This window comes from Homo sapiens, chromosome 12 (assembly GCF_000001405.40).
Source record: "Homo sapiens chromosome 12, GRCh38.p14 Primary Assembly".
NCBI classification, from domain to species: Eukaryota; Metazoa; Chordata; class Mammalia; order Primates; family Hominidae; genus Homo; species Homo sapiens.
In genome coordinates, this window is record NC_000012.12 from 1,215,553 (window position 1) to 1,236,910 (window position 21,358).

General features: G+C 36.7%; 1 protein-coding gene across 54 annotated transcripts in view; it reads left to right on the top strand.

Annotated features, from left to right (window-relative positions):
- Window positions 1-21,358, top strand: part of ERC1 (ELKS/RAB6-interacting/CAST family member 1) — a 505,975-nt gene that overhangs the window by 225,594 nt on the left and 259,023 nt on the right. For all 54 annotated transcript variants that reach the window (NR_027948.3, NR_027946.3, NR_027949.3 and 51 more), the window contains one exon: window positions 21,217-21,352. Coding sequence is in view for 50 of the 54 variants with exons in the window: in XM_047428566.1 (XP_047284522.1) it covers window positions 21,217-21,352 (136 nt within the window). In the remaining 4 variants the exon portion in view is untranslated. The remainder of the gene's footprint in view (window positions 1-21,216; window positions 21,353-21,358) is intronic.

Sequence of the window (21,358 nt, forward strand, 5' to 3'; positions counted from 1 at the left end):
ATTTTCTTTTATAATTATACTATATTATACTATCATCTAGATACAGACCCTTTAGCTCATGGAGATGAAGGAATCAGTTCTGTTTAGGGGAGTGCTGGAAAGCTTTGCCAAGATACTGCCATTTAAGCTTCTTCTTGCAGAATGAGTGCATGTATGCTCTTATGCTCGGCAAAGACAGGGTAAGGGAAAGGGCAGGGACATGAAGACATCTGAAAAGGCAAAAAAACAAAAGAATCTTTTCCTCATGCTTACTGCATGAGGGAATATTAAAAATATAGGTTATTGTTAAAGACCTTTAGTGCTAATTAAGGGAATATGGATTTTATTACGTAATTAGTGTGAATCCAAAAAAAGCAAAAAGTGTGGGAATATAAACAACTTTTATAATTCAATTGTGTGCATATGGAATCTTTGTAAATTAAGTCATGTTTTACATAAAACCAGAATCTTATTGGTTAAAGACTATTTGGAAATGGAATGTAAATGTTTTTGTATGAAAATAAATTGTCCCCAAATTTTCAGATTTACAAGTTACCTTTTTTTTGGTCTCCCCCTCTCCTTCCTTCTTTCCGTTCTTTTCCTCTAGGCGCATCCTTTAATAATGAAATCAGAAACTCGTAACTTTATTCTTCTCTCCCATCTCACTGGGATATTTTAGCGATTAATAGTATTCTACCCATTTGATTTAATGATTTTTATTTTATTTTAACTAACATTTATTGAGAAAACTACATATGAGATTTTCTGATCACTAATATTTATTTGCACAGAAAAAGGTGTTACTATCATTTACTTAATAGATCTGCTTTTATTAATGATTTTATGCCTTGATTTCCCACAGTTAGCCTCCAGCTGTTACTTCTGTATTATGCATGTTAGAGTGAAATGTCCAAATTAAATTAGTTTTTAAGCTGAGCCCTGTGAAATCACCAGGTGGAGAAATACGGATGGCATATTATTCCTGCATATGCATTTTCATATGCTATTGGTGCAGTGTAATTCAACTGTAGCATTCACAACTTTCATCATTGACATAGCCTTGGTGGGGTCGGGGAGGAGGGATGGGGGGTGGGGGGCGGGGGGAGTAAATGGAATGATATGTACAAAAACACTTTTCAGCTGGGAAGAGTGAAACAAGTTAATAGGAAATAAAAGGCCATATTGTCTATTCAGACTAGTACGTTACTTTTCCAGAGTCATGGGGCTAGCAACCACTATATGTCTGACTTCTACCAAGAAGGGTTGAATCCCTGGTTGATCCTGTGAGGCCTGAGGCATATAAACAAGAAACATGAAAGGGAGAGGAAAATTAAATGAAGTGGGAGTGTTGCAGAATAATAATACAATTAAGGGAGAAAATAATAGAGGTAGAGGAAGAGGTTATATACACTTATTTCTCTTACTATGAACATTTTACTTAGAAGTGTAAGGTTGTATGTCTTGTTTGATACAGTGATAAAAATTATGATAATGCTTAACAGAAATGGGTGCTTTGCTCCATAAAAGTGCTCCGTGCTTTCCTCTGTCATTATGAATTAATCAGCAAGAAATCCAGAAGTGAACAACATAAAAGTATTCCCTCTCCTCCTTTTTTTAAACAGTGAAAAAAGTTGACAATATATTTATTCTGTCATAGATCCAAAAAGCCAAGCCTGCGTTTTAAGGCAGGGTTTTCTTTGGTTTTCTATTTCTCAGCCACACCTTCAGATTTCTTGGCACAGTACAGTCATAGCATTGTGTCATATCCTTGGTCTGTTTTATCAGACTTTATAAATTGATTCTGACTGTACCAGCAGTACTAGATTCTTATCTTTACACAGTTTGGGAAATGGACAATGACTCTTTTGGAAAAACAGCTCTATAAATTGTGCTGTGGTATGTGAGAATGGGTTCTCTGCTTTGCTTTTCCTCTAGCCTGCTGCCATTCCTAGACAGTGTCATTTCTCTGATTTAGGGCATTGTGTAGCTGTTCTGGGTAGAGTAAACCTGCCTCTAAATGTGGAACAGATTGTTACCCGTCAGAATTCTCCACCTTGGAATGGTGACACTGAAAGATACAATTCAGCTCTGGCCAACACCTCCTGTCTTCCCAGTTCACTTACTCTCGTCTCCACTCCAATTATTGCATCTAATTAGGACCTTGAAACAACAACCTACTACTTTTTTTTGTTTGTTTTGAACCTCGTATGGCCTCACACTTCCTTCCTTACCCGGGTCAGATTTCATGGTCCAGCAGTATAATTACTCCCTTCTAAATCCCCTTGACTTACTTGCTTTTCTCTTTTGTCACACTTGCTTGCAAAACCTCAATCCTGATTTAAAGCAAGTGTCTTCCTACACTGCCTCTGCCCTGAGCAGCTTTATGTTACCGGGCAAGAAGAGTCACAAAGCTTTGCAGACTGGTCTCACATTGAATTTATGGCCACAGATCTCAAATTGCTCCTAATTCTGCAGGCAGTCCTAATTAAGAGGACTATTAGATTTGATTTCCCATCCTCAGAGGTGACTGTATCATTCTGTTCTCTTATCAAATCTGCAAATCCTTCGCCTCCACTCAAAGTTTCTGGCTTCACTTGATATTTCTTTGAGAAAATTAAAATAATTGGATGCTACCCAGTTTGTCTCCTCATCAAATCTACCAGCCTACTTGCATCTATACCTGGAGCCTTTGCCTGAATAGTGCCACTATTCCTGAATTCACCTCTGCTGCCTTTTCTGTTAATCCTATCCCAGTTGCCCAACCTAAAGATGCTTCTCCCTCATTATCCTTCTCCCTCCTTTCAAATTTTTGCTTTCTCCTTGTTCACAAGTGTACTAACCTGCCTTTAGAGTTCCACTTAATGTCTTAAAAAAAATCGTTCTCTTGATGTGATGTCTTATTCTAGTTGCCACCCTGTTTCTCTCTTCCCTTCTCAGCAAATCTTATTTAAAAAATTGACTGTAGTTGCTATCTGCCTTTCCTTACCTTTCTTCAAGTTTGTTTAATCAGGCTCCTATTTTTAGTAGTCTTACGAAACTGCTCTTGTCAAGTTATCATAAATATCCATGTTACCAAATACAGAAATCACTTCCATGGCCCCATCTTAACTTTACCTTTCAGCATCATTCTACACATTTCCTTCCTTGAAACACTGTTTTCTTCTGGTATCTCTGATACCAGTGTCTCCTTATTTTCTCCCTCTTTCACCTGTCATTCCTTTTGTGGTGTTTCTGATTCTGCCACTTTCCTCTAGACCTCTAAAAGGCTCCACTCTCAGTCCTATTCTCATATATATATATATACACACACACACACACACACACATATATATATATATTCTCAGACTTTTCTTTTTTTTGAGATGGAGTCTCACTCTGTCGCCCAGGCTGGAGGGTAATGGTGCCATCTCAGCTCACTGCAACCTCTGCCTCCCAGGTTCAAGCAATTCTCCTGCCTCAGCCTCCTGAGTAGCTGGGATTACAGGCATGCACCACCACGCCTGGCTAATTTTTATATTTTTAGTGGAGACAGGATTTCACCATATTGGCCAGGCTGGTCTTGAACTACTGACCTCAGGTGATCCACCCGCCTTGGCCTCCCAAAGTGCTGGAATTACAGGCATGAGCCACCATGCCTGGCCTCAGACTTCTTCAAGTCTAAGGCATTCATTATCAAAAACACAGCAATAGCTACCAAATTAATAATATACAAGGTGCTCCAGAATACTCTACTTATTACCTACACAATGTCTTTAGTTAAATATCAAATTTAGTTTTACTCAGAACAGATCTCTTGATCTGGCCCACCTTTTTCAAAACCTCTTCTTCCCCAGTTTCCCACCCTCAATAAATGGTACTACCATTCACTCATTGTGCAGGCAATAAATCACCAAGCAATCCTTGATTTTTCTTACTCCCTACGTTAAATCTATTAGTAAGCCCGATCACACCTCAAAAATGTATCTTTAATTCAATGATTCCATTCGATTCTCTCTATGAACCATTATCCGTTGCTCAAATTACTGCAGCTGTTTTCCAATGGCTATCTGCTTCTATATCACTTCTGTACTAGTCCCATCTCTGTAGCAATCAGACTGAACTCTCTTTTTTTTTTTTTCTTTTTTGAGACAGGGTCTCACTGTTACCCGGGCTAGAGTAGCCTGGCGTAATCTCGGCTCACTGCAACCTCTGCCTCCCAGGCTCAAGCCATCCTCCCACCTCAGCCTCCCAAGTAGCTGGGACTACAGGTGCACACCAACCATGCCTGGCTAATTTTTGTGTTTTTTGTAGAGACAGGGTTTTGCCAAAGAGCAGGGAGTACAGGCATGAGCCACCGCACCTGGCCTGAACTGAACTCTTAGACATTGTCACCCCTTGGGTTAAAACCTTCCTGTGTTCTCCCATCATACACAGTGAAACCCAAGCTCCTTCCACAGCTTAGGCTCTGTATCCTATGGCTTCTTGCCACCCCTGTAACCCCACCACAACCTCCCCTTCCATATACTCCACCTATCAGCTTTTTTGTTGTTGTTAAAACAAGCTAAGCATTTTCTATCCTCAAAGCCTTTGTAGTTATGATTCTCTGTGCCTCTTCTCCTAGATCATTATATGTCTCTTCCCTGACCATTGTAGCTGAAATACACTGTTTGTCACATCCAGTGTCTCCATTACATTGCTTGTTTTAATTTTTTTCTTAGCACATGTCACTGTGCTATGACATACTTTTTTGTTAGTTTATGTTCCCGCCTCCCCCTTTTAAAAATAAGTTCAATATGTTTGTTGAGGGTGGGGACATTGTATTCTTTTTTCTTCCTTAGCTGTATTTAACTCTTGGCAGGCATTCAGTAAATATTTGCTGAATAGATGTGCGAGGGCTGGCTCTTTTCTGAAAAAGTTGACAGTTGAGAATGCATGCTAGTTTTAAATTATGGACAAATATGTGGCTTTACATCAGTTGAGAGAAACTTGAATGTTTATTAGGTTACTGTTATTTTTATTTGTGTTTTTGAGCAATTCTTTTGTACTTTGTGATAACAAGTAATTGCTTCCAAATGAAAAAGACTTTTCCAGTGACCTGCAAAGCTCTTCAGCAGGGATTGGCAAACTACAGCTCATCTGGCACCTATTTTTGTAAAACCTGCAAGCTAAGAATGGGTTTTACATTTTTCAAGGGTAACAAAAAAGAAAAATATATGAGACAGATTTTACATGATTCACAAAATGTGAAATATTTGCTCTCTGATCCTTTACAAGGGAAGTTTGCTAACCCTTGCTGGAGGCGGTGGCCCTCATTACCTGCCTTCCTCATTAGTGGCCTGCTGCATCTGTCTGCTTCACCTGGGCCTCGTGCCCATTCGCATTTGCTGTTTCCTTCGTGAGGAACACTCAGGCTCACTCCCTTACTTCCTTCACATCTTTGCTTAGCTGTTGCCTTTGCAGTGGAGCCTTTCCTGAGCACTTAATTTAAATTCCAATCCCGCCACCCATTCCTACACACCTTATCTCCTTTCTTCTTTTATTTTTCCCATTGGACTTATCACTGTCTGACATACCATGTATTTTTCTTATGTTCTCTTTCTTTCCAGTGGACAGTAAACTCAGTGAGGGCTGAGATTTTTGTCCGTTTTGTTCACGGCCATATTTTCGAAGATAGCACCTGGCCCATAGAAGCTTTTATTAAATATTTGTTGAATTAATGGTCATAGATTAAAGTTATCTTGAGAACCAGCATTAAAAAAAGTCAAAACACTTCAGTAAACATTGATTAATTGCCATAAAACAGTCCTCATCTCAGATCTATGGAGTTGTATAAAATCGGGTCCTTGTCTTCAAAGAAATTAGTGTAGTAGTGAGAATAAGCATAGAAATAAAAGACACTAAATGTAAGATGAGACTAATTATCCTGCAGTTTCCTTGCTGATTAAAAAAATGTTGAATTGATCATTTAAAGTATTTTTGCAGAAGTTAAAAGTGTTTATGTAAAACTCCAAGTAATTAACACTTTTACGTTCTGTATTGATATCTTTTCTCCTTTTCATCATGACTTGTTTTCTTTAGACAGTTAGGAATATGGTTCCGTGAAAATAAAACCCATATTTAAAATGGCTTTTAAATAGTCAAAAGCATTTTAATTAGATAAATAACAAGTGAAACTATTAGCATTTTATTTTTAGTTTTTTGGTTACTCTTTGGGCAGGTATTTTTTAAAGCACAATTAGATATTTAAGTAGTATTATAAAATTTTATGTCTTAATTTTTATGTTAACTGTGAGTGGAGCTCTTTGGAAGAAGGTAAAATGAGAGAGAGTGTGTGTATGTGTGTGCACGTGTGCAATATATATAGTCATGAGTCATTGAATAATTGGGATGATAGGTTCTGAGAAACATCACTATGTGGTATCATTGTACAAATATCATAGCGTATACTAACACAAACATAGATGGTCTAGCCTACTGCACAGCCAGGCTGTAAGGTATAGACTGTTGCTCCTAGGCTATAATCCTGTACAGCATGTTACCGTACTGAATACTGTAGGCAGCATTACACAGTGGCATTTGTGTACCTAAACATGTAAACATCAGTAACAATCCAGTATTATAATCTTATATGCATCTGCATACAAGATGCAGTCTATTATTGACCAAAGCATTATCATCATGTGCTGTAGGACTATTATGAGTGTACATATTCTCTTTTTTTTTTTTTCTTTTTTGAGGAGACAGGGTCTCGCTCTGTCACCCAGACTGGAGAGCAGTGGCGCGATCTTGGCTCACTGCAACCTCCGTTTCCTGGGTTCAAGCAATTCTTGTGCCTCAGACTCCTGAGTAGCTGGGATTACAGGTGCCACCATGCCCAGCTAATTTTTGTATTTTTGGCAGATACGGGGTTTTGAGGCTGGTCTCAAACTCCTGATCTCAAGTGATCCACCCATCTTGTCCCCCCAAAGTGCTGGGATTACAGGCGTGAGCCACCACACCTGGCCCATATTCTCTATATGTAACATTTTATAAATATTATAGATGTTTATATGTAATATACACAGTGCTTTAGCAATGTCATTTTATTTTTAATTATTGTCTATTTAAGCCCTAGCTTAAGCTTCTCTTCTTGAGTGAAAACACAAATACCTTAGTGAAATTTGATTGATAATATTTTTTTTAATTTGACAATAGAAGCATCCTATTTTTTCTTAAATTTGTGTGGGAGATTTTATGGTATAGTAACGTATAACACTAACTATATGTAACTTCCTTTTTGGTAAAGCAAAACAGCCAGTAGAATTGTAGCCTCTGGCAAATGTTGTTAGTTTCTTAATAGGAAGGAGTAAGTTAAAGACAGATAATAAAAATTCCTTTACCAATTAATTTTGCTAGGTGTTTAAGATACAAGGAAGATATTTATTTTTTAGTAATTCCATTGTTTTAGAGCTTCAAACAAACTGTATTTTCCCTCAGAGTTTTGTTTTGGGTGGATTTGTCAGTAGGGTATGATTAGTTTCCTTTTTACGCATTTGTTCAACAAATGTTTAATGAGCACCTATAAACCACAAGGAACTGTACTAGGAATTGTGGATTTTGAAAATATATCAGAGGAGGACTTTAACCTCTAGGAAGGCATGTTCATAAAGTACAGTAAAACAGGTATGTAGACTCCCTCCCTAATGTGGAGAACAAGTCAACATGTCATAAGATAGATTCAGTTAAAGTGGTATGGGAGTTAGGAGCATCCATAATAGTTGTGATCTAATAGATTTACCTAAATTTGAGTTTGGATTTTAAGAGACAGAGGCTTAGAGCAGCAATAACAAAGTAAATATGGGCAAAGCCTGCCTGGCATAGTCTGCATTGACTGTTGTTTCTTAACATTGTGCATTTAGTGTGTATTCATATCCCCTGGGAACCTCGTTAAAGTGCAGATTCTGATTTAATAGGTCTGGCGTCAACCTGAGATTGGGTGTTTCTACCAAACACTAAGGTGATATTCATGATATAAGTTCATGGATCACACTTTAGATAGCAAGATGGTGGACCACATTTTGTAAAACTTCTGGTGGCAGAGACAAGTAAAAATTCAACTACTATTTTCTTTCCCATCTTCGTTTTTCTGTCTTCTTACACTTTTGTTTGCTTACATCTGTGTGCTGGTGGAGAGAGTTAAATCTTTTATTCATCATTTCACTGTTTATTATAATAGTTGGGAGCTTAGCAATTGTGAATCTAATTTTAAAGCATTAATTTATTTATGAATTGCTCTAATTTGTCCTCTTCCTGCTTGAAGAATGGTAAAACATCTATGTTCACTATGAATTAAATTCAGATTAGTTCAGGCAAAACAGCAGTTGAGAGAGTTTTAATAAATTTACTAAACCATTAAATCCATGGCACCTCACGATAGGAATTTACTAACATCTGGGTTTTCTTGAGAATTTAGATTCAAATCAAACTAGATGTTAATCTACTTATAAGGAAAAAGAAGGAAATTCCTCATTTCACAAGTTCTGTTATGTCTCAGAATGTTTTTTCCTAAATATACATTCCAGAAATACCCTCCTTTTACTCTTTTAACTTATATTTAGATGATACTCCCTCTTATATCTCTTCCCAGAGAAACAGTATTGAAAAGGATAATAATGAGGCAAGAAAATCATTGTGTGTTTTCATCTTTTCCAGTTAATTCATGAATTCAGAACTATGCATACATTCATAAAACCATGTGCATGCACACACACACGTACACAGACAGACACGCATACACAGGACGAGAAGGTGGGGGTAGGCAAGAGATTGATTTAATTGTCTCACAATTTTCTATACTTTTCTTGGTTGCCTATCATAGATAAAACCATTTTATCTTGATAGTCATCCTTTAGCCTATAGAGTGAAGGTGAAGAAATAATAGTGGTGAAACTAAAGATAGGAGATTTAAAATATGAAAAGAAAATGGATTAAGAAAATCAAAGACCAAAAACTTAAAAGAATCAAAGACCAAAAAAATGTGCCATACTGTACTACTTTGTATATCTAGTCTGATATAGGCAAACAACCTATTTTGAGATACAACCATATCTCTTTTTAGAAACAACTTTTAAAGAAAATTTTAAAATATTTTATGTCTGAAGTAGAAAATTTAGAAACTGTAAAAAAATGATAAAAAAGAAAAAAAAATAGGCTGGGCGCTGTAGCTCACTCCTGTGATCCCAGCACTTTGGGAGGCTGAGGCTGGAGGATTGCTTAAGCCCAGGAGTTTGAGACCAGCCTGGGCAACATAGTGAGACCTCATCTCTACAAAAAATAAACAGCAATAACAAAATTAGCCAGGCATGGTGGCATACGTCTATAGTCCCGGCTACTTGGGAGGCTGACATAGGACGATCATTTGAGCCTGGGAAATGAGCTATGATTGTGCCACTGCAGTTTAGCCTAGGTGAGTAAGTGAGACCTTGTCTAAAAAGAAAGAAAGAAAGAAAAGAAAAGAAAATGAATTTTCAAAAAACAAAAAGAAAAAAACATGCTTAATTTGTCCATCTTAATATTCTTCATTATATGTGTGTATATACATACATTTGGGATCATGCTCTGTATTCCTTAGTTAGCATTTTATTATGTCTTTTTGGAGTTGATGGAGGTAGTCATTAGTATGTCTGTGAGCCAGGTGGAATGCTCACACCTGTAATCTCAGCAACTCAGGAGTCTGAGACGAGAGGATCACTTGGGGCCAGGAGTTCAAGACCAGCCTGGGCAACATAGCAAGGTGCTGTCTCTACAAAAATTAGCTGAGCATGGTGATGTGTGCCTATAGTCCCAGCTACTTGGGAGGCTGAGGCAGGAGGATCAATTGAGCCCAGGAGTTCAAGGCTGTAGTGAGCTATGATCACGCCACTCTACTACAGCCAGGACAACAAAATGAGGCTGTCTCTTACACACACACACACACACACACACACACACACACACACACACACGGAGTGGTTGATTGGATAGGATGAGGGTAATGAATTTCTTGAATTGTTTTTTCTGAAACACGACTAAAAACACCATAACCTAGTTTTATGATTTGTAGGTAAAGTAGGATTTTTAAAATCACTTACTCTTCGATATAATTGTGATGGAAAGTGCTGAGGAATGAAATTGGCTTTGATTGGATTAAATATCTACCTTCTAACCAAAACATAGTCTAGTAGTTTTAATTCAGTTATTTATTCCACATGTCATAATGCCCCAAATAACCAGGCTACTGCTATTGGCATTAAAGGTTGCCAGCACCATCTGGAATAATTCACAAATGCAAGGTGAAAGGAATTTCTGCACCATTTAAATTTTTTTCTCTCTCTTAAAACAGAGCAAAATTTTTGCATCTAGTAAATGAATGTTAGGAGGAACTTAATTTTGAGAAAAAGCAATTTGATTCATAAAAACAGAATTTTTCTCCATTTGTTTGTCTTCTCTAATGCCAGGAGCCAGTCTGCTTTTTCCATTAGTTAATATAATTGATATCAGATTGTTAAAATGAGAAATAAAAAATTATAGAGTAAGGAGAATAAATATAAACATTATTTTTCTTTTTATTTCCTCTAGTGATAACTGATTTTATTATATTGTCTGTGGCTGAATTCTTCTGTAGATATTGAAGATGGCCAAAAATGGAGATCTAAAATGTAACTTCTTAGTGTGCATTTTCAATGGAGAATGAATTATCTCATCATCTGTGTCATTAATTCATGATTTTATCTTGAATAATTTTTCCCAGCTTTATTGAGCTATAAATTGATAAAATAGCATGCATTTAAGTACGGTGTACCACATGATCTGATACATGTATACATTGTGAAGGATTAGCACAATCAAGCTAATTAACACCTTTATCACCTCACATAGTTACCACTTGTTGTGTGTGTTGTTAGAACCCTTAAGATCTGCTCTTAGCAAATTTCAAGTGCGCCGAACAGTATTATTAATTATAGTCTACCATGCTGTACACTGGATCTTCAGAACTTACTCATCTTCTGTAACTGAAAGTTTATGCCCTTTGACAAACATCTTCCACGATCTCCCCCTTTCCCAACCCTCTAGAAACCACCGTTCTACTTTCTCTGAGTTCTGTGAATTTGATGTTTTTAGGTTCATTCATATCACAAGTGGCAGTATTTCCCTTTTGTTCTTGTTTCGAAACAGTCTCACTCTGTCACCCAGGCTGGAGTGCAGTGGCGTAGTCTCGGCTCACTGCAGCCTCCACCTCCTGAGCTCAAGCAATTTTTCTGCCTCAGCCTCTTGAGTAGCTGGGATTACAGGTGTGTACCACCAGGCCTGGCTAATTTTTCTGTTTTTAGTAGAGATGGGGTTGCGCCATGTTGGCCAGGCTGGCCTCAAACTTCTGGCCTCAAGTGATCCACCTGCCTCGGCCTCCCAAAGTGTTGGGATTACAGGCGTGAGCCACTGTGCCTGGCCTCCTTTTTGTTTTATGGCTGATAAATATTCCATTTGATTATATATGCCACATTTTCTTTATCCATTCATCTGATGCACACTTATGTTGTTTCACATTTTGGCTATCGTGACTAATACTGCAGTGATATGGGAGTGCAGATCCTGATTTCAGTTGTTTTTGATGTGTAGCAGAAGTGACATTGCTGAGTCATATGGTAGTTCTGTTTCTAATGTTTAGAGGAACCTTCTTACCGTTTTCCATAATGGCTGTGCCAGTTTACACTCCCACCAACAGTGTACCAGGATTCTCTTTTCTCCACATCCTTGCCAATACTTGTTATCTTTTGTCTTTTTCATAGTATCCATTCTAACTGGTATGAGGTGATATCTCATTGTGGTTTTGATTTGCATCTTCCTGTGATGTTGAGCGTATTTTCACATTTAGCTATCCTTTGGCCTGTTGAGCATTTTTCCATATACCTGGTGACCATTTGGCCATTTAAAGTCTTCTTTCGAGAAATGTCTATTCAGATCCTTTGCCCATTTTAAAATCAGGTTGTTTTCTTGCTATTGAGTTATCTAGACATTTTGAATATTAACTCCTTATCAGATAGGTTTGCAAGCATTTTTTCCCATTCTTTAAGTTGTCTCTTTACTCTGTTGATTGCTTGCATTGCTGTGCAGAAGCCTTTTAGTTTGACGCAGTCCCATTTGTCTATTCTTGCTTTTGTTGCCTGTGCTTTTGGGGTCATGTCCAAAAAATCATTGTGCAGACCCACATCAGGAAGTTTTCTTTCCCCAGTGTTTTCTTCTACTAGTTTTAAAGTTTTAGGTCTTATGTTTAAGTCTAATCCATTTTGAGTCAATTTCTGTGTATGGTCAGGGATAAGGGTCCAATTTCATTCTCCTGCATGTAGATATCCAGTTTCCCCAACACCATTTATTGAAGAGATTATACTTTCCCCAATGTGTGTTCTTGGCATCTTTATCAAAGACCAATTAACTGTAAATGCATGCATTTATTTCTGGGTTTTCTATTCTGTTCCATTGGTATAGATGTCTGTTTTCATGCTGGTACCATAGTGTTTAGATTTGTAACATAGTTTGAAATCCGAAAGTGTGATGACTCCAGCTTTGTTCTTCTTACTCACAATTGGCTATTCACGGTCTTTTATGGTTCCATACGAAGTTTAGGATTCTTTTTTCTGTTTTTGTGAAACAATGCCATTGGTATTTTGATAGAGGCTGCATTGAATCCATAGATTGCTTTGAGTAGTATGGACATTTTAACAACATTAATTGTTTCAATTCATGAACAGATTATCTTTCCATTTGTATGTATCTTTTTCAATTCCTTTGTCTTCTAGTTTTTAGTGTACAAATCTTTCAGCCAGTTGTATACAAAAATATACAACTAATTTTTGTATATTTTATATTCTGCAACTTTACTGAACTTACTATAATAGTTTTTAACAATTTTTTTATGCAGGCTTTAGGGTTTTCTATGTATGAGGTCATGTCATTTGCAAATAGAGACAGTTTATCTTGTATTTTCCAGTTTGTGTGCCATTTAGTTCTTTTTCTTGCCTAATTGACTAGGACTTCGAATATTCTGTTGAAGAGGTGGTGAGAGTGGACTCCCTTTTCTTGTTCCTGATGTTAGGGGAAAAGCTTTCAACTTTTCACCGTTAGATTTATCGGCTGTGGGCTAATCATATATGGCCTTTATTGTTGTGTTGAGGTACATTCCTTCTTTACCTAATTTATTGAGAGTCTTTATCATGAAAGGATATTTAATTTTGTCAAATACTTTTTCAGATGATTGTGTGATTTTTATCGTTCATTCTGTTAGTGTGGTGTATGACGTTTATTAATTTGTGTATTTTGAACTATCCTTGCAAATAACCACTTGATTATAGTGAATGGTCCTTTTAATGTGCTGTTGAATTCAGTTTCCTAGTATTTTGTTGAAAGTTTTGCGTCTAGTTTCATCAGTACTATTGACCTGTAATTTTCTTTTCTTATAGTATCCTTATCTGGCCTTGGTATAAGGGCAATACTGGCCTTTTAAAATGAGTTTGGAAGTGTTCCTGCCTCTTTAATTCTTTGGATGAATTTGAGAAGAATTGGTACTAGCTTGTGCTTAAGTGTTTGGTGGAAATCAGCTATGAAGCCATCTGGTCCTCAGCTTTTCTTTGTTGGGAGGTTTTTGACTACTGCTTTAGTCTTCTTTCTTGTTATTGGTCTGTTCAGCTATTAATATGTCTTCACTTGTCCAGGTACAGTGTGTAATCCCAGCATTTTGGGAGGCCAAGGTGGGAGGATCACTTGAGACCAGGAGTTGGAGACCAAACTGGGTAACATAGCAAGACTGGTCTCTACAAAAAAATAAAAAATTAACTAGTTGCAGCGGTGCATGCCTGTGGTTGCAGCAACTTGAGAGGCTGAGGCAGGAGGATCCTTTGACCCCAGAATTTTGATGAACTATGATGGTGTCACTGTGCCCCAGCCTGGACAACAAAGCAAGAATGAATCTCTTTTAAAAAAAAAGTCTTCAATTTTGTTGTTGTTGTTGTTTTAATGATTCAGTCTTTAGGGTATATGTTTCTAGAAATTTATTCATTTCTTCTAGGTTATCCAAGTTGTTGGTGTATTAATTTTCATAATATTCTCCTTGTACTCCTGTGGATCAGTTGTAATGTCTTCTCTTTCATGTCTGATTTTCTTTATTTGAATTCTCTTTCTCAGTTATTCTAGCTCAAAGCTTGTCAATTTTGATTATCTTTTGACAAACAACTATTATGTTGATTTTTTAGAATTTTCTTTCTGGTCTCCCATTTATTTCTTTATTATTTCCTTACTTTAGCTAACTTTGGGCTTAGGTTGTTCTTTTTTCTATTTTTTTGAGGTGTAAGGTTAAGTTGTTTGAGATCTTTATTTTCTTAAAGTTTATTGCCATAAACTTGTCTCTTTGAACTGCTTTGCTGTATTCTGTAGGTTTTAGAATGCTGTGTTTTCATTTTATTTGCCTGAAGATACTTTTTGACTCTTTTTTTTTTTTTTTTTTTTGAGTTGGAGTCTCACTGTGTCACCCAGGCTAGAGTGCAATGGCACAATCTTGGCTCACTGCAACCACCGCCTCCCGGGTTCAAGCGATTCTCCTGCCTCAGCCTCCTGAGTAGCTGGGATTACAGGCATGTGCCACCACGCCTGGCTAATTCTTAATACAGATGGGGTTTCACCATGTTGGCCAGGCTAGTCTCAAACCCCTGACCTCAAGTGATCCGCCCACCTCAGTCTCCCAAAGTGCTGGGATTAAAGGCGTGAGCCACCGCGCTTGGCCTGACTTTTTGACTCTCCTTTTGATTTCTTCTTTGACCCATTGGTTTTGTCAGGAGTATATTGTTTACTTTCCATGTATTTGTGAATTTTTAAATTTCCCTCCTATTATTGATTTCTAATTTTATACCATTGTAGTTGAAAAACATGCTTGATATGATTTTAACATAGTTGGATTTAACACTTAATTTTGTGGCCTAACATATGTTATATTCTGGGGAATGCTCTATGTGTACTTGAGAAGGATATGTTTTCTGCTGCTGTTGGATGGATGTTTCATATAGTCTGTTATTTGCTCTATACTCTTATTCAGGTCTAATGTTTTCTTATTGACAGACTGTTTGACCTATCCATTGTTAAAAGTGGGGTAGTAAAGTCCTCTCTTGTTATTGTATTGCTGTCTGTTTCTCCCTTCAGTTCTGTTAGTATTTGCTTTATATTTTTAGGTGCTCTAAGGTTGGATGCATATATATTAATACATTTACAATTGTAATATTCTCTTGATGAATTGACCCATTTATTGTTGTATAATAACCTTGTCTCTTGTGACTGAAAGTCTATTGTGTCTGATATAAGTAAGCCCATTTCTATTCTTTTTTGGTTACCATTTCCATGGAATATCTTTTTCTATCCTTTTGTTTTCAGCCTGTGTGTGTCCTTACAGCTAAAGTGAGTCTCTTGTAGCCAACATATTGTTGGATACTTAAAAAAGTCTGTTAGCCACTCTGTATCTTTTGATTGGAGAATTTAATCCATTTAAAGTAATTATTGATAGTTAAGGCCATTTTGTTGTTCTCTGTTTTGTAGGTCCTTTGTTCCTTTCTCTCTTGCTGCCTTCCTTTCTGATTTGATTTTTTTTTTTGTAATTGTATGCTTAATTCCTTTCTATCTTTTATATGTTACTGGAGGTTAGTTTTCTTTGTGGTTACTATGAGGGTTACATAAGATATCTTAGGCTGTTTTAAGGTTGTAATAACTAAACTTTAATTACCTACAAAAATTCTGCAATTTTATGTCTCCCTCCTTCACAGTTTATGCTATTGATGTCACACTTTACATCTTTTTATATTTGTGTACCCATTGACAAATTATTGTAGCTATAGTTATTTTTATACTTTTGTCTTTTAACTTTTATGCTAGTTAAAATTGATTTATGTACCACGATTACAGCATTGCAGTATTCTGAATTTGACTGTATATTTATTTTTACCAGTGAGTTTTATACTTTAATGTGTTTTCATGTTTTTATTTAGTGTCCTTTAGTTTCAACTCAGCTCCCTTTAGCATTTCTTATAAGGCAGGTCTAGTGCGATGAACTCTGTCAGCTTTTGTTTGTCTGGAAATGTCTTTATCTCATCTTTATTTCTGAAGAACAACTTTTTTTTTTTTTCCCTCTGATGGCACCTCTGACTCCTTGATATTGTATTATTTGTTTCTCAGAGAAGTAAAGCAATTTTTTTTTTGAGACGGAGTCTCGCTCTGTTGCCCAGGCAGGAGTGCAGTGGCATGTTCTTGGCTCACTGCAATCTCTGCCTCCCGGGTTCTAGCGATTCTCCTGCCTCCGCCTCCCAAGTAGCTGGGACTACAGGCGCCCGCCACCACGCCCAGCTAATTTTTGTATTTTTAGTAGAGATGGGGTTTCACTGTGTTAGCCAGGATAGTCTTCGATCTCCTGACCTCATGATCCACCCACCTCAGCCTCCTAAAGTGCTGGGATTACAGGCATGAACCACTGTGCCCAGCAACAACTTTCTTATGTATAATATTCTTGGCTGGCAGTTTTTGTCTATTAGCACTTTGACTATATCATCTCATTCCCTCCTGATCTGCAAGGTTTCTGCTGAGAAATCCACTGATTGCCTTGGTGGTGGTGGTAATGGTGGTGTGTATGTGTGTTGCGGGTTTCCTTGTATTATAGGTTGCTTTTCTCCTGCTGCTTTCAAAATTTCCTCTTTGCCTTTGATTTTTCAGAATTCAATTATAATGTGTTTCAGTGTAATTTTCTTTGACTTGAGCTTTTGAGCTTCATGAATCTAGATGTCTGTATTTCTTTCAAGATTTGAGAGATTCTCAGGCAACAGACATTCATTTACGTGAGCTAGGTATTTCTTCTATTCTCCTGTTGGGACCTTGGTAATGCACATGCTCATTCATTTAATGCTGCATCGGAGCTTCTGTATGCTTTTGTCGTTTTTAATTCACTTTTCTCTTTAGTTTCTCTAACTGGATAATTTTAAACGATGTGTGTTTGAGTTCCCTGATGCTTTCTTCTGCATAACTGAGTTTCCTATTGAAGCTATTAATTTTTTTTTTCAGTTGTCAGTGTATTCTTCAGTTTCAAGATTTCTGTTTGGTTCTTTAGAGTTTCTATTCCTTTATTAAACTGTTTGTTTTGTTCATGTATTGTTTTCCTAATTTTTGTTGAGTTTCCTGATTTTTGTTTCTGGGTTCTCTTGAGTCTCATTGAGCTTCTTTAGGATGATTATCTTTAATGCCATCAGTCATTTCATGTATCTCCATTCCTTTGTGATCAGTCATAAGGGCTTTATTGGTTTACTTCGGTGATGTGTTATATAACTGTAAACCGAATACATGGAAAAATAAAAAAAAAACAATAGAAAAATAATTAGAATTAGCAAGAGCGTTTAACAGGTTTTCTAGATAGAATACCCATATAGGGGAATCATGTTCCTGTTTATATGCCAGCAAATAGCCACTAGAAAATGTAATTTTAAAAAGTTACTAAAATAATTTATTCAGGAAAAGTTCATTAGTGCATGGAGCCATTAGGTGAAAGGTTGATAAAAGGTGAACTCTACACACAGAAGAGACCAGGCTGTCACTGCCTTGATGCACTAGTTAATCTTAGCCTCTTTAAGAGTGAGAAAACCAAGGACCAGGCACAGTGGCTCATGCCTGTAATCCCAGCACTTTGGGAGGCTGAGGCGGGTGGGTCACTTGAGGCCAGGAGTTTGAGACCAGCTTGGCCCACATGGTGAAACCCCTTCTCTACTAAAAATACAAAAATTAGCCAGGTGTGGTGTTGCATGCCTGTAATCCTAGCTACTTGGGAGGCTGAGACACCAGAATGGCTTGAACCCAAGAGGTGGAGGTTGCAGTCAGCCAACATTGCGCCACTGCACTCCAGCCTGGGCAACAGAGTGAGACCCTGTCTCAAAAAAAAAAAAAAAAAAAAAAAGAGTAAGAAAACCAGACATTATATTATATGCTGTCAGATGTGAGGCAATGTCAGTTATACAACACCATTAATTATTATTTTTACCTAAAAATGAAAATTGAATATATTCAAGTCTTTAAAGCTAATATTCAGTATCAAAACAAACAAAAAGCAAGAGATATAGAGAAACAAGTTGAATTTCATCATGAAGAAGCAAACATACAATCCAGAATGTGAGTCGTTGTATGGAATAATTGATTTCCTTTTTAAAAAAATCACTGGCATTCAAAAAGGGTACATTGGAGGAGGTAAGAGACTTTTCTCTAGATTAGTAGGGATTTGAAGGATCTGACAATAAGCACAATGTATGGGCGTTTTTTGTATTTTGATTCAAATAAAGTAGCCGTAAGAAATAAACTTTGATTCAAATGGGGAAATTTGAATATGGACTATATATTATACTGATATTGAGGAATTGTTAATTTTGTTACAATTTACGTTGTTAAACATGCTCTTTTTTGGAGATGCATCAGGAAGCATGTATAAGGGTATAATGACATGATATCTGGAATTTTAAATGATGGCAAAACGTATAATGTACATAGAAATAAAATATATACACATTTTTTATGGAGGAAAATATAATGCTTTGTTAGCCTTTTAAGGAGACCTAAACAAATAGATAAACACACTGACCAGTTTTCAACCTAACGATAGTGCAAAAGTGATACACGTTCAGTAAAACCACACTTTGAATTTTGATCTTTTCCTGTGCTATTGGTATGTAATATGATACTCTCTTGTGATGCTGGACAGTGGCAGTGAGCCACAGATCCCAGTTAGCCACACAACCAGGAGAGTAAACAACTGCTACTTTCCAGATTAGGTGTTTTAAATGCATTTTGGACTTAGGATATTTTCAACTTATGGTGGGTTTATTGGGATATAGCCCAATGGTAAGTTGAGGAGCATCTGTAGTATGTTAATGAATTGAAAGATCCAAAAGCATGAAGTTTTTCCCAAACTGACATTGCTTCAATGTGATTGGAATCAAAATCCCAGAGGCTGCTGTTGGGTTTTTTGTTGCTGTAGTTGGTTGGTTGGTTTGGTGGAACTTGACGGGCTAGTTCTGAAATTTCTATGAGAAGCGTAAAGCGCCAAGAACAGCCAAGAGAGTTTTGAAGAAGAAAAAGGTAGGGAGCCTTGCCTTGCTAATTACTTTTTGTAAAGGTATAGTAATTAAGGTGGTATAGATCTGGCACAGAAATATACAAACATAGCCACAAAACAGGTACACATGCATATAGAAACTTTGTACACACCAGAAGTGGCAATGCATGTAAATATTCCTGGGAAAATTCATTATAAATACATGTAAAAAATGAAATATTATTATGTTATACCAAACCCCCCAAAATGGAAGTATGTTTTTACCTCATAACATATGCAACCTCGGTTTCAGATGGATTAATGACTGCAACGTGAAAGACAAAGTTAACGTCGTTTTAGGGGAATATCTTTATGAACTTTGATGGACAAGATTTTGTGGAAATGTCACAAAATTGTATATTATAAAGGAGAAGATTGATACATTTGAAACAATTAAAAGTTTTAGGCTGGACATGGTGACTCATGCCTGTAATCCCAACACTGGGAGGCAGAGGCCAGTGGATTGCTTGAGTCCAGGAGTTCAAGACCAGCATAGGCAACATAGTGAAACCTCATCTCTACTACAAATTAGCTGGGTGTGGTGGCATGTGCCTGTAATTCCAGCTGTTCAGGAGGCTGAGGTGGGAGAATCACCTGAGCCTGGGGGGTCAAGGCTGCAGTGAGCGGAGATTGTGCCACTGCACACTAGCCTTGGCGACTGAGTGAGATCCCATCTCGGAAGAAAAATAAAATTGAATTCTATCGATGAAAAGATGTAAAGAAATCATAGACTAGAAGAAAATACTTACATAACATATAACGGATAAAGTATTATTATCTATAATGTATAAAGAATACCTATAAGTCATTAAGAAAAAGATATGTTAATTTAAAAAGTGGAGAAAGACACAAATAGCTATTTCACAGAAGTGGAAACAGGAATGGCCAAATACTGTATGATAAGATATTCAGCCTAGGTGGTTAGAAACATGCATTGTAAAACTATAATGAGGTACTATTTTTTTTCTACCCTATTGGAAACATTTAGAAAGTCAGTACCATGTATTAATGGATGTGGAGAGGTATAATGGCCAACAGTTGTGCACAGCTAGCAAGAGTATAAATTAATATAGCTTCTTGGAAAATAAAATAAAATAAGGTGTACCTACTGTATTTCCTAGCAATTCAGTTCCTAGGCCTATACCTTAGAGATATTCCTGCCCAGGTATATCAGAGTGCACCTAGCAGCATTATTTAAAATGGCAAGAAGATGGAAACAATGCAATTGTCATCTTCTGGGGAGTAGATTAAAGTAATTGCCATATATTATTTCATACCTCAGTGAAAGTGGAGAAGATTAAAAGATACATTACACTCTGAATGGTCTAAGTCTCGAAACCTATTGAAAGGGAATAATATTGAATATCATTCTGTACTAAAAAGAAAAATGAATAATTATTTATCTTTATAAAGCTCAAAAACATGTAAACTATAAATGAACAGTTCATATATATATATGTAGCAAAACAATAATAAAAGCAAAGGGATTTTAAACATAAATTTTGAGATATAGGTTGTTCTTATTAATGGAGGATAGACCAATAGTAGAGAGAGACACAATAGGGAGCTTCAGAAGTAAATATGATGTTCCATTTCTTAAGCTAGGTTTATGGATTTTTATGTCATTATTTTCATATACATCTACATTATATACAGTGTATTGAATGTTTGAAATATTTAATAATGGTAAAATTAGAGTTGTTTTACAAAGCTTTCTTTTTCTATCAGCCATTCTAATATTTCAGTGCGTCGATGTCAAAAATACTGCTTCCGTATTTCCAAAATCTCTGACTTGGTTTCTTTTTAGTCATTTCAAATGATCCCGTGCCTTTCTTTTGTTTTATGATTTCATTGTTCTTCGTAGAATACATGCTGAAATACATGTTCTTTATGGGAAAACTTATTTTTGTAAACGAATGTGCTACCATTGAGAGGAACGAATTTGGAATTGTTGAAAAATTTCGCAGCATGTATTTATTCGTTGGTTTTCAGCCATTCCTTATTGTCACTGGTGTAAGTCTCTAGATAAACATATTTGTTTCTATACATACATATGCAAAGCTTGATTTTTCTCCTTCTGTCATTAGGCAAGTGAAAGACCAGAATAAGAAGGTAGCAAATCTGAAGCACAAGGAACAGGTGGAAAAAAAGAAGAGTGCACAAATGTTAGAGGAGGCGCGACGACGGGAGGACAATCTCAACGACAGCTCTCAGCAGCTACAGGTTAGA